The sequence below is a fragment of the Homo sapiens genome, chromosome 20 (assembly GCF_000001405.40).
Source record: "Homo sapiens chromosome 20, GRCh38.p14 Primary Assembly".
Classification (NCBI taxonomy): Eukaryota; Metazoa; Chordata; class Mammalia; order Primates; family Hominidae; genus Homo; species Homo sapiens.
In genome coordinates, this window is record NC_000020.11 from 25,138,665 (window position 1) to 25,151,109 (window position 12,445).

General features: G+C 49.2%; 1 long non-coding RNA gene across 3 annotated transcripts; it reads right to left on the reverse strand.

The window, feature by feature from the left end:
* Positions 1-2,133: 2,133 nt before the first annotated feature.
* On the reverse strand, positions 2,134-10,126 carry LOC284798 (uncharacterized). Of its 3 annotated transcripts, none has more exons than NR_027091.1 (4): positions 9,293-10,126; positions 5,615-5,759; positions 4,704-4,849; positions 2,134-4,167 (listed from the first exon to the last, which is right to left on the reverse strand). It is a non-coding gene; the product is annotated as an uncharacterized LOC284798 (long non-coding RNA). The 3 variants fall into 3 exon arrangements; NR_027092.1 differs by having other exon boundaries at positions 9,935-10,061; NR_027093.1 differs by having other exon boundaries at positions 9,096-9,329.
* Positions 10,127-12,445: the final 2,319 nt, after the last annotated feature.

Here is a 12,445-nt window from a genome sequence, read left to right on the forward strand (position 1 = left end):
AGCTGGTCTCAAACTCCTGGGCTCAAGCAATCCTCCCACCTCAGCCTCCCAAAGTGCTGGGATTACAAGTGTGAGCCAATGAGTCACCACACCTGGCCTTTTAGACTTATTGATAAAACATTTTGTCATAGATTTCTCTTGAGCATATACGAAAAGGACACACATGTGCCTTAAGACTTGCTTCCTCCCAGAACCCAATGCCTTTGTGTCACTTTTGAATTAGAGCCGACTCTGTCCCCTGAAGAGCACTGGGGACACAGGATTTATTTGAACATGCTCCAGTATTGTCTCCGAGGTTTTCTTCCAAGGCATTCACATCCATTCACATTGGCACTGCTGCTTTATTGATGTTACCAAGAAATGTCAACAGAAATTAGGAATCACGGACACATGCTGTTTTGCTCTCGCTCTCAGCTGTGTGTTGAGAACGCAGTCGTAGGACAGCAGGGTGATGCAGGGGAGCTGCTGGCATCGGCAGAGAGAAATGGGAAGACAGCCACATCTTCAACGGAAGGCAAGCTGCCCGATGCATGGAGACCCTGGGGCTGCCTGCACTTACACTAGCTGTTCAGACGCCATGGACACCAAGGGTATTTGAGTGGCTGAAAGGTTGACGAGGATTCCACAGGGTGGCAGCAGAACCAGGACCAGGACCAGGGGAGCACTACCAAGGAAAACCTGGACACAGCCACCTGGGGGCAGGAGCCACACCTACTTCAGTTTATGAGAAACAAGTTCACTCATCCAAACCCAAAGAATGGACTCAGAGACCCGGAGAACTGCAAAAGTGAGACTTTTAACGACAGTCTTGCAAGATAGGGTATCTGATGGACAGGCACACCCAGCACAGTTTCAACAAGCAATTTATCCCCTAGTGCACAGGTCCCTCCCCCAGTTCCTCAAATGCTGAGTACTATGGAGGTCACAGTCTTCCTGGACATCGCCTATGGGTTGGTGGGTAGGGGTTTTAGGCATTTTCTTTACAGTTGTCTTGCTGCATCTTGTTGCAGCCACAATGCATTGCAATCCTAGTTAGCTCAGGGGCTCTTCAAGTATTTCACTTATGACCTAAGTAGCTGGGCAGGCTGATAAGAACAGACAAAGTGAGCTATTTTGCAGGCTAGTAAACTTTCATCTTAGACTAAACTCCTTTGGTTCTGGTAAGGGCAACTAAGGGGGTGAGGGGCAACAAACAGGCATCAGCTCTCCAAGCAGGGGCCTAGTATATCCTGTTTCTTCTGTAGTTTGCTGACCTAAACTGATTCAAGGCACTATGTCTTGGAAATGAACCACCGTACACATTATTTCCTTCAAGTTCATCGTCATGTTCCCAGCACCCAGCACAGTGTGGGAAACAGAAACAAGAGACAGCAATGGATCCCTCAGTGCTCTAATGGCCCCCAGATCGCTGTGTAAACTCCTCCTGCCCGTCTGCCCTGATGTGGAGAGTGCCTCACAGAACTGTGTCGGGACTGGAATTTGGTGAGCAGGTCCATGGCGTCCCCACTCTTTTATGGAAGAAACCGCACCAGGACAACTGTCTTTAGAGCTTCCCAAACCACACTGTTACTCTGCCTTCCGTTTAAAATCTCTTGAAATCCACACTGCAATGGCACAGTCCCTCAATTCTCTCCAAAAAAAAACTGGGGTACTTATCCCCCCGTGATGGCAAGTGAAGAAGAATCCAACGTGTTCATGGGCAAATTATCCAAGCATTCATCAACCCCTAGCTTGGAAATTCTTTGGCTGACTAGTTTCTGCCCCCTAGTCTGTCCACGTTAGGAGAGGACTGGGCGGGGGCTTGGCCAAGGTGAGACAGCTCCAGGAACGCTAGCAGAGACAAATACTTTGTCCTTTTCTGTCCTCTTTCCTGCCAACACCCCATATGGGTATTTTGCTGAGGAATGAGCATGCCTCCACCAACACGGGGATGCCCAGCATCTGTCAGCACATGTTTTCCGAGTGTTCCCAGTCCCACCCTGGTTCCAGAGGGGGTCATACAAAGCACAGAAAACCCTATCTGTCTCAAGACAGTGTAGCAAGCAAGTCAAAACCAGCACCACTCATTAGTTAGTGAGCAATTCGGTGCTAATTGGCAGAAAATAGGTGAAAAAAGGTTCACAATCATATTTTAAAGTAGTTTTATGAAAGTATAATATTCATACAAAGTCATAAATGTACCAGTCATAAATGTACAGCTCATTGAATTTTCACAAAATGTTTACACCCAGATCAAGAAGAGGAAATTACCAGAACCTACCAGCACCATCACCCCCATGCAAGGATCCCACTGTCCTGGCTTCCAGCACCACAGCCTAGCTCTGCCCATATTTAAACATAGTGTAGCTGGAATCACAGAATGTGAATGCCCTTCCTCCTGGCTTCTTCCACCCAATATTACACTGGTGAGCTCACGGGTGCTGGGGCTCACTCATCGCCGTTGCTGTGCAGCATCCATTTATCCATGCTGCCCCATTGGCGGGCGTTTGCCATCTCTCCCATTTGGGACTATTACAAATAGCACTGCCCTGGAGGGCTTGGTGGCCACACATCCCCATGCCTGTTGTGTGACTGCCCAGCCAAGGACTTGCTGGGCACAGGGGGCACCTGTGGTCAGCTCTTGTGGATATCACCAGGCAGGTGCCCAGAGTGGTTGCCTCATGGTTCTATTTAGTGATCCTTTTGACTTCACATTTAAATAAAATTACCTCCCAGGAGGGAAAACATACTACTATAGAGCACCTCATGTATCCTGGCATGAGACACGGCTGTCACCAAAGGACGGCATTGAGTAAAGGAAAGGAAAGCAGCCATGCAGTCACAGGTGCCCTTGAATTTCCCCTGGGAAGCCACTCCAGGGGGCAGGGGGCAGGGGAGACTGAAACTTCAGCTTTCAATAGACACAGCTGTGAAGACGATCCCATGTCCAAGAATCCTGGAGTGCCCCCAGAACATCTCTCATCATTAAGAAGTCAACGACAGGCTTCCATGCGGAGGCTGCCAATAGCCAGGAGGGAAGGCTCTCTGGGCTCACCCTTGCCAGGCTGGGCGTTGGTCTACACCCCACTGTTGTTTAAATTGTTTATCATTCATTCTCTCTCTCTCTCTCTCTCATTTCTCTTTCCCCAACTCTCTCTTCCCATCCCCACAACTTGTGTAATTGTGTAAGTGTATTTATAAAAGTCAAATAAGGTGACTCCATTTTATCATCCTGTTTTTCAAAGCTGATGCAGCTAAGGCTCAGAGAGGCTAAGTAGTTTGCCCAAGTTCACAGAGCATTCACACACACACAACTCCCTGGCCCCACAGGACATGATCTGTCAGCTGTACCATCTCTCTACAAAGCCACCAGGATCATATAATAAAGAATGTAAAGAGACTCTCTTCCTACCAGAAAGTCCCTTATATGTGAGCAAACCCCTAGGACGCCAGAAGGACTCTGTGAGATTTGTGTAGAAATCTCCTGGTATTTCAGTTCTCCCGGTGAGTGGACACGTATTTCTCATCAGGAGGCTTCGATGTCTCTAAATTCATCCCCAGTGTTCTGAAGGGGTAGATTACGCTCAGGAGTGACCAGCCAATTGTTAGAGAAGATTTCAGTCGAGGCTTTGCTTGTGAAGGTGCACTGCTCACAACTTGGCTTCTCCTGTGTGGAACACAAATGTGAAGGACCAAGCGGAGCATTTATGAGCACCAAGGCTGGGGCTTGCTCTCAGGTCAGAGTTCGAATTGTCCACTGTCTGCATCTCAGTTAAGATGCACCCGTCAGTCCTAACATGGAACCCAGAGTAGTCTTTCTCCCCTGAGTAGGTCTTGATCCAGAGATCCAGTTAGGGCCCCCTAGAAACAAGCATGAATGCCCCTGGTCCTTCCTACCTCCCCAGAAGCAGAGAGAGGGCATGCAGCTGGACTGGATTGCCTTAGCTGAGCTGTGGCTCATGGATAGGAGTGCCTGCTGGCTGCCTCAACCAGGAAGGAGGGGCTGCTGTTCCTGAAAATCATGGTCATCTCCTCTGGCAAGTCCACCATCATATTCCAACAGGGTAAGCACAGTGGAACTCGGCAAGGGGAATAACCCAGTATCACAGGCAGCCCCAAAGAAACGGCAGTGGGACGGGTGAGTGTGGTCTCCAGTTTTCTCACTGGAAGCCTACAGGCCTGGGCCACCTGGAAGTAACAGACCTTTTAGTTTACATCACTAAAAACCAATCACACCCTTACATTTCAAAGAACTTGCACTTAAATCAAACTGCCAAAATATAATCAAGTTGCATGACTCTGATTTTAATTTAGGCCTAAATTTCTCCAGTAGTGTAGGGAACACTGAGGTGGCCAGTGCTGGGAGCCATATCACCAAGTGGCATTTGCTTGTGGAGCCAAAGTCCCCCAAAAAGAATTGGGCCTGGAGAACCTTACCGATATGTCATCAGTAACATTAACTGGCCCTTGATCAACCTTTTCCTCTTTGTAATTATTTTTCCTCCAAGACTCCTGTGACATTCTTTCCCATGGTTTTGAAGACAAAGGAAAGTGTGCTGCCAAGCCTTGGGCATAGACAAGCCACACAACATTTACTGCAACTTTAAGAAATTGTTTAATAGGAAAGGAATCTTCCTAAAAGCATTTTCTGATCATCATTAAAGAAGTCAATCCCCTCTTTTAGCTTAGAGATAAATAAAGTCCTGATTACTGGAGCAAAGTACCTTGAGAATTTCCCATTTATTCCCCGATGACATAATCCTCATGCCAATAAATTGACCATGTGATGTACATGCTCCTGTAATGCCGTGTGTTAATGTCAGGGAATAAATTCACAATCTGATTTGATTTTTTCTGGAGTGGGGAGAACCTGAAACAACATAATGCAGACACATAATCAGCAGACACAAAATAAGCTGTTCATCCGATTTCAAACACACTCACAACCAAACCTCACTTCTGAAATCACCATAATTACTTTTTTAAATAATTCATTTTTAATGATTATAAAAGTCTACATTCCTGTGGTGGAAAATATAGGAAATAAGAAAATAACAATCACCGCTAAGCCTATGATCCACAAATAAGCCCTGTCAACATTTTTGGTCTATTGTATTTTAATACTTTTCAAAACATACATAATTTCACAACCCAATATCACATTGTAGGTGCAACTTGAACTGACTTTTTTTTCACTTTGCATGCAACATTGTCAAAGTATGTCAAAATGTGGAAGGACATTTAGTGATAACCTCTGGGTGGCAGAAATATTGTTATTTTCTTATTTTCTTTATGCTTTATTACCTATATTTTCTAATTTTCTACAATGCACATTCATTATTATGAAAAGATTATTTTTAAATTCAGAAAGATTATTTTCCATGGCTGCATACCATTACATCTTATGGATACACCCTGATCTACTTAATCTTTATCAAAATGGTGGACAGCTGCCCTTTCCAAGGTCTTAGGAGGGGCCCTTGGAATGTGTTCATGTGGTCATATGTTTTTGTGAAATTTGCAACAGTAAACTATAAACACAGTTATTTGAGACCATTCTAACTTCCCTCCTGCACATCTTTGCTATCAGGTTGTACTCAGAGGAAGTCGAATTGAGGGCATTTATGGGACTCACCATCATTTCTCATTGTACCTGTTACTGCAGCCACCCTAGCATGGGGACTCTTTCAGGATGCTCCCAATGTCAGCAAATCCATGAGGATTTAAAGGGATTCTAGGAAGATGGCAGCAGTGACACGGGTTTTGAATCTCCTTGAATCCTACACAAAAATAACATGGAAATTAGATAGTAAAACCAAAAACACATGGGCAAATGGCCAAAAACAACAAAACTAGATGATACAGTCCCCACCCTCTAGGCCCTACGTAAAAGCAAGTGGAGGTGACCACCATGGCCACGGCCCTGCGTGATACCAGCGTCTGTGTGGAGGGAGAAGAGAGAAGCAAGGGAAACCTGGAAAAAAGATGACTTGGGAAAGAATTCAGGACAAATGAAAATCATCTCAGAAATGAGGGCTAAACTGGAAGGAACACAAGGGCAAATAACAGGCAGTCAATGCATTGAGAGAAATAGGAGAAATTTGTTTTAGTCATAAAGACATAAAGGAAAAAATAAAAAGAAAAAATAAAAAATGACAAATAGGCAAAAAAGATTCAGCATATAGGTAATAAAGTATCTAGAGAAAAAACCTGAAGTAAAATAGCAGAACAAATACTGAACTCTGCAATGGCAAAAAAAAAAAAAAACTTTCCCATAATTTAGAATTTAGAAAACAAAACAACAACAACAAAAAAAGTTGAAACTACATTCTGAAAGAGCACAGTGAGTACCTGAGAATATCAACCCAAAAGGACCAGCACCAAGACATAGGCTAGGAACATTACTGAACTCTAAAGACAAATAAATAATTCCTTTGCGAATCTGGGTGGAACAAACACGAATGAACATAAAATCAAAGGGAGAGAAAATCTGATTATCATCCACGTGGAGAGCAACACTTACTCCAAAAGGAGATAGAGGAATCGATTCTGCAACCCAAAGAGCTGCTCTCGGTCAGTGCCACAGGGCTACATCTGTGCAGGGGGCACAGGCAGGCCTGGACACCCGTGTATGGCAGAGTGATAAGGCCCAGAAGGGAACATCGCACACAGCCCAGACTGGCATGGAGCCACTAGTTGGACATCTGCAGGGGAGCGTAAGCCGAGAGGGAATCCTCTAGGAGGAGATGGGCCAAGCCACACAAGTGCAGGGAAGAGAGAGGAGGGAGGAGGGAGAGCCACATTGTGTCATGCTGGAGTGAGTAGGTTTGTGGGGACTCAAATGTGCCCTTTTTACCAAAGCACAAGTATTCAGGACAACCATCACCAAGTTCAGCTGCAGTCCTAGCACCCCACTGCTGTCTGTTTTCACAGGAGCACCAGTCCAACAAGAAGTGCATCGAGGCACGTGTACATACAACTGTGACACGCAGTTTGGCTTTGGAAATCTTGAGCACTGCACCATGCCCAGGAAAACCGTAGATGTCCATTCCTGTACCAGAATGACCAAATCATTGCTGTGTCTGCACAGTCCCAGAAATAAAACCACCAACCTAGTTTTCAGCCAACTCAGTTTTTTAGTAAATGTACAGTTGTAAAGTTCAAAGTCATGAAAAACAAGGAAAGACTGAGTGACAAATGAAAGACTAAGGAGAGAGACATGATGACTAAATATGCAGGGCATCCTGGATTCAATTCTGAAATAGAAGAATTACATTCGTGGAAAAACTGGTGAAACCCAACTGAAGTCTGTCATTTAGTAAATGGCATTGCACAACGGTGAATTCTTAGTTTGGATCAATGTCACATAGCTATATAAGTTGCTAACATTTGAGGAAACTAGGTAAAGGGTATTTGGGAACTTTGTACTATGCCTGCAACTCATCTATAAATCTAAAATTATTTCAAAATATGAAGTTTAAAAAATAGTTAACACTTTGCAATAATAGCACAGAAAAAAACAACTAGTTATTTGGCTGAATCTGTTTCCTTTTTACCTTTTCGATGGTACTTAGAACATCACAAGGTACTGTAGGTGGATCCCAAGTGTTCTGCCCCTGTGTTGAGGTCAGAGCCCTCCCTGGAGTTGCCCCCATGATCCCCTTAGCAAGGAACTGCTGGGGATACCCAGGAGCTCTGGCACTGGTCCCTACTGTGGCCATGAACCCCAGCATGGAGAGAAGAAATCAGTGGGTGACACCTTCCTGGACTTTCCCTGTGCCTGTCCAGCCACTGTCCTCGACAGTTTTGCTCTCTGACTACAACTGGATGTGGGGATGTTGTTGATGCACTTGAAGGGTTGGATGCCTCGCCCATCCTTTCTCACCCTGCAGCACAGTGCTGATGCAGCTAAGACCATGGCCCTGCCTTGCATGCCCACAAAGCCACACCCACACTGTTCCAGAAGGTCTCCCTTAGTCTGGCACCAATGCAAACAGCTCAGCACTGTCATCACGGCAGCCCGTCCCCAGAGAGCAGAGCCTGACCCCAGCCAGATGCAGGCTGTCAACCCTGGAGGGACCCCAGGGGGCAGGAGTAAGGCTGGGGAGGCAGAGCTGACAAAGCTGGGGTGGGATATTGAGTCAGCCCCTCTGTGTGCCTTTGGGAGTGTGTCTGAGAATGGTCCCGGGGAGGAAGGGGAGCATTCCCTCATTGGCCCCCATGCATCACTGGTCCAGGCCCCTACGCGCTGGCTCACCACCGGCAATGCACACTCCACGACCAGGGAGCCCCACGCAGGAAGGCAGAGGCCACGCCAGGCCACATTACCCCTGGGCAAAGCTCTCAGAATCCTGCCAGCATGCAAGGAGAAACTGAGAGGATGGGCAGTGGGGGAGGCAGGGTCCAGGGCAGCTGCCCCATCCTCCCAACCGTGCAATTGCGAGTCTCTGAGGCATACTCTGCCCAGGAACCCAACCAAGCCCACATGAGGGCAGGTGGGAGTGCCAAGGGGCTAACACCACCGGGGCAGACTCAGCCGCTTAGTGCTAGTGGATCAAGACCCCAGCTTCCCCACCTGCCAGCCAAGACAATGCTGAGGCGTGATCCGCACAAGGTCCTGGGGGGTCCCCAGCAGGTGTGAGCCCCTGTTGCCCACAGTGGAAACCTGTGTCAATGCACACTCCCGGTCTGGCTTCCCTCCCTCTCACATCCCCTCCCCGCAGCTGCCTCCCAGGACCACATTCACCACTTGCACCCAGTCCTACCCATCGGGACTGCTTTGCAGAGAATCCATTTAAAACTGACCAAGTGGGCGTTGGAACCCTGCACTGTCTGATTCAGGCCCAAAACGTTTAAACACAATGCTAATACCCTCAGTTGTTGGGAATGTTGGGTTACTTGTGGGTTCCATTTGGATACTGGCCCCTGTGACGGCTACAGGACATGGGACGCCACCCATCCACTGATGCCACCTTTCTACCTCCTGCCCCAACAACGCCTCATGGGCACCAGAGACTCCGGGCACATTTCATGCTTCTCCAGATCCAGGGACCACGGAGGAGGGAGACTGTCTTCACCTCTCTGCTCTGCAGCTTTAGATCCTGCATGCTACTCACCGTCCCTGTGGCTCCAGACCCCATCCATGGGTTTATCTCCCCCAAGGAAAAATCATCACGGGGTTCTTCCATTTACACGCACTGGCTGCAGCCACAGCCTGGGGGACCAGGGCTGGACGGCGCCACAGGTAGAAGAGGGCCCGGATTCCCGAGTCACCTCCCAAGTCACCGTGGGAGGCTAATCAGGCCGCGCTGACCTTTGCCTCCAGCAGGGCCTCCGCTTCACTCCCTTCAGGGGTCTGGACATCATCTCTGGGCCTGGGCACACCCTGGGACAGTCAGATGCGGCGGCTTCCATGCGCCTCCCTCCCTCAGGCCTCACCCCCTTCATTCTCTCACTCTAAAACCTCCCGGACAAACCACTAAAAACGATGCGGCTGTCGTGGTGGTGGGTCATTTGGTTTTGGGTCGCGTGACCTCAGTGAGTGTGTCCCCATGGGGAAGCCGAGAGTGCTGACGTCCCCCTGGATGCGGGAGAGTCCACTCCGGGATCGCTGTTCCTGGAAAACCGCGTGCGGGTGCAGCCAAGCCCCTCAGTTGGGGAGGGAAGGCACTGGAGGACGAGGCCCGGAGGTGAGTCCGCAAAGCCAGGCTGCCAGGCTAACCACGCCCAGCTTCCCCCAGCCACCGACCAGGCTGCGGGGACGCTTTCAGAACATCATGCGGGTGCGCCGGCTGGCCCTGGGTGTCTGGGCCGGGGCCCCTCCAAGCCCACCTGGGAGAGCACTCCCGCCTCCCCCCACCCCGGGGCGCCCACCACCCCGGCCTCCGCCGCCGCCCTGCGACAGCGCCCCCAGGGCCCGGCGTCCTGGGCCTCTGACTCTGCCCGGTTTGCTAACCCGGACCCTCGCCGCGTCTTCCGGCTCCAGTATCCTCGGGAACCTCCTCCCTTTCATCACTCGCCTCGACAAGACCTTCTGAGGCCACACATCTCGAGGCAACAGCTCTGTGCCCCGCCTTTGTTTGGCTCTCAAAATTGTGCTGTGCCCTCTCATCTCCAACAGCGTTACGCTGATTTTCGAGCTTTTCCTGGCTCCCCCTGGCTCTTTGCTGTCGTCACTCGGTTCTCCGCCCATCCCCGTGCGCACGTGTTCGCTGTGCTAGCCCCGTGCGAGCTGAGCTGCCGTTAGAGTCGGTAGATTACAGCGAAGCTGCAGTCAGCAGCTCGTCTGCCTGGCCCTGCACACCGTGAGACTCGAGGCAGTGCCCGGGACGGGACCACCTGGGGAAGAGAGGAGGGAAAAGCCAAACCCCGCAGAGGAAGGACGAGAGCTGGCAGCCAGGTCGGCTGCGAAAGGGGAGAGAGGTGGGCAGTCCAGGTCTGGGATGGGCCAGCCTAAGCTCGAATCGCTGTGTCAGTGGGTTGGTCACTTAGCCCTTTTAAGCCTCAGTTTCCTCATCTCTAAAATGTGGATAATGACAGAACCCTCACAGGGCATCCAGAGATGGAGGCTGTGCGATGAGCCGAGCCCAGGCCTGTGGAGTTTTCTGTGCTCAGTGCTGTTGCTGTTGTCATCATTAGCCACCGTTTTTCAAATCTCGGAAGCCTCTTAGAAAACCAGCTGTTCTTGATGGCCACTTGTGAAAGGAGAAGCAGATTTCTTAATCAGAATGATTCAAAGAACTTTCTCCCAGCAACAGTTGTTAAATCAAGGCCTTGGAATTTTCTCTGAAAGAGAATTCTGCTGGGTGCTGTGCCTCACACCTGTAATCCCAGCACTTTGGGAAGCCGAGGTGGGAGGATTACTTGAGGCCAGGAATTCAAGACCTGCCTGGGCAACATAGTGAGACCCGTATCTACAAAAAATAAAAATAAATTAGCTGAGTAAGGGAGAGCACACCTGTAGCCCCAGCTACTCAGGAGGCTAAGGCGAGAGGATTGCTTAAGCCTAGGAGGTCAAGGCTGCAGTGCGCTATGATTGCACCACCGCACTGCAGCTCGGCAACAGAGTGAGACCCCGTCTCTAAAGAAAATAGTAAGTACAAATAAATAAAAGAGGATTCAGTATCATCAGGCTTGAGTGGTTCCTGAGAGAGAAAAGACCTAGATCATTCCTTAAGTTCCCCCTGGAGCCCCAATATCTTGATTCTGTGACTCTTCACATCTCCCTAATTAAATTGTCTGGTTTAATCCTCTCCTTGAGCCCTCTCCTCGGCCTCTGTCCTCCCCAGCCTTGCATCCATTCCATGCCCACCTTCCATGCTGGGGATGACTTACAAACTGCAGGCTTGCAGATTCACAATCACTCAACAATATGCTGCACAGACAGACTGCCCTCCTCCATGGACACCCTCCTTTGTGCGAAGGCCAACTGCTTATGGGCAGTTGGAATGTCTTCTAAGCAGACAAAAGGCCTGCTCAAGTGTGCAACTATTTGGGGGCAGGGGCCACTCCCTCCGCGGGTGGTTAAGGGCTGTGCTGCTTGGAGCCAGCTGCTGAGTCCTGGAGAAGAATAGAGCAGGCATGTGGACGCGACAAAAGCTGCCTGGCCCTGTGCCCCAGGCCAGCCCAGGACGCAGCACATCCTCAACATATGGGTCCCTGGGGGGGTCCCCTCATTTAACAATCATGATTTCCCTCTTCAGGAGACAACAAGGTTTGGAAACCTTAAATGGGCTGTGTGACTAAATTAAGTTCCCAAGGCAGCCAGAACCAAGACGCTAATTGCCTTGGCTTATGGTTCTTACCCTCCACGAGACAGATTGGCTCATTTTTCAGGCTACTAATTATTAATTTGAAGCCATGAATAGAAAGAGATGGGAAGGACCTGTCACCTCCTGCTTGGTGAATGCTAAAGCTTTGTCATTTGCAGGCACAGGAGAGTGCCGACGGGCCTTTGAGTGAGCCAGGCAACAAGTCAGGGGTCCCATATGTACAAACTGCATCTTGGCATTGCTTCTGCTCTGTGCAACGTGGTGGGAGCCCACTTACAATCAACTGCCAACATCAGAGCTCATGGGACACAAGGGCCATGTTATCTGAGGCCTCAAAAAATTCAGACTTCGGAGAGATCTCCAAAGTTTGTATAAAAGTCTCTGCTGGTATAAAACAGTGCAATTCTGAGTTACACTGTCAGAATTTTAAAATGTTAAAGTCCTTTATACAACTTTAAACTTGTGTCTTAGCTGGGTGCGGTGGCTCACACCTGTAATCCCAGCACTTTGGGAGGCCGAGGTGGGTGCATCACCTGAGGTCAGGAGTTCAAGACCAGCCTGGCCAACATGGTGAAATCCCTGCCTCTACTAAAAATACAAAAATTAGCCAGGCGTGGTGGCAGACATCTGTAATCCCAGCTACTCAGGAGGCTGAGGCAGGAGAATTGCTTGAACCCAGGAGGTGGAGGTTGCAA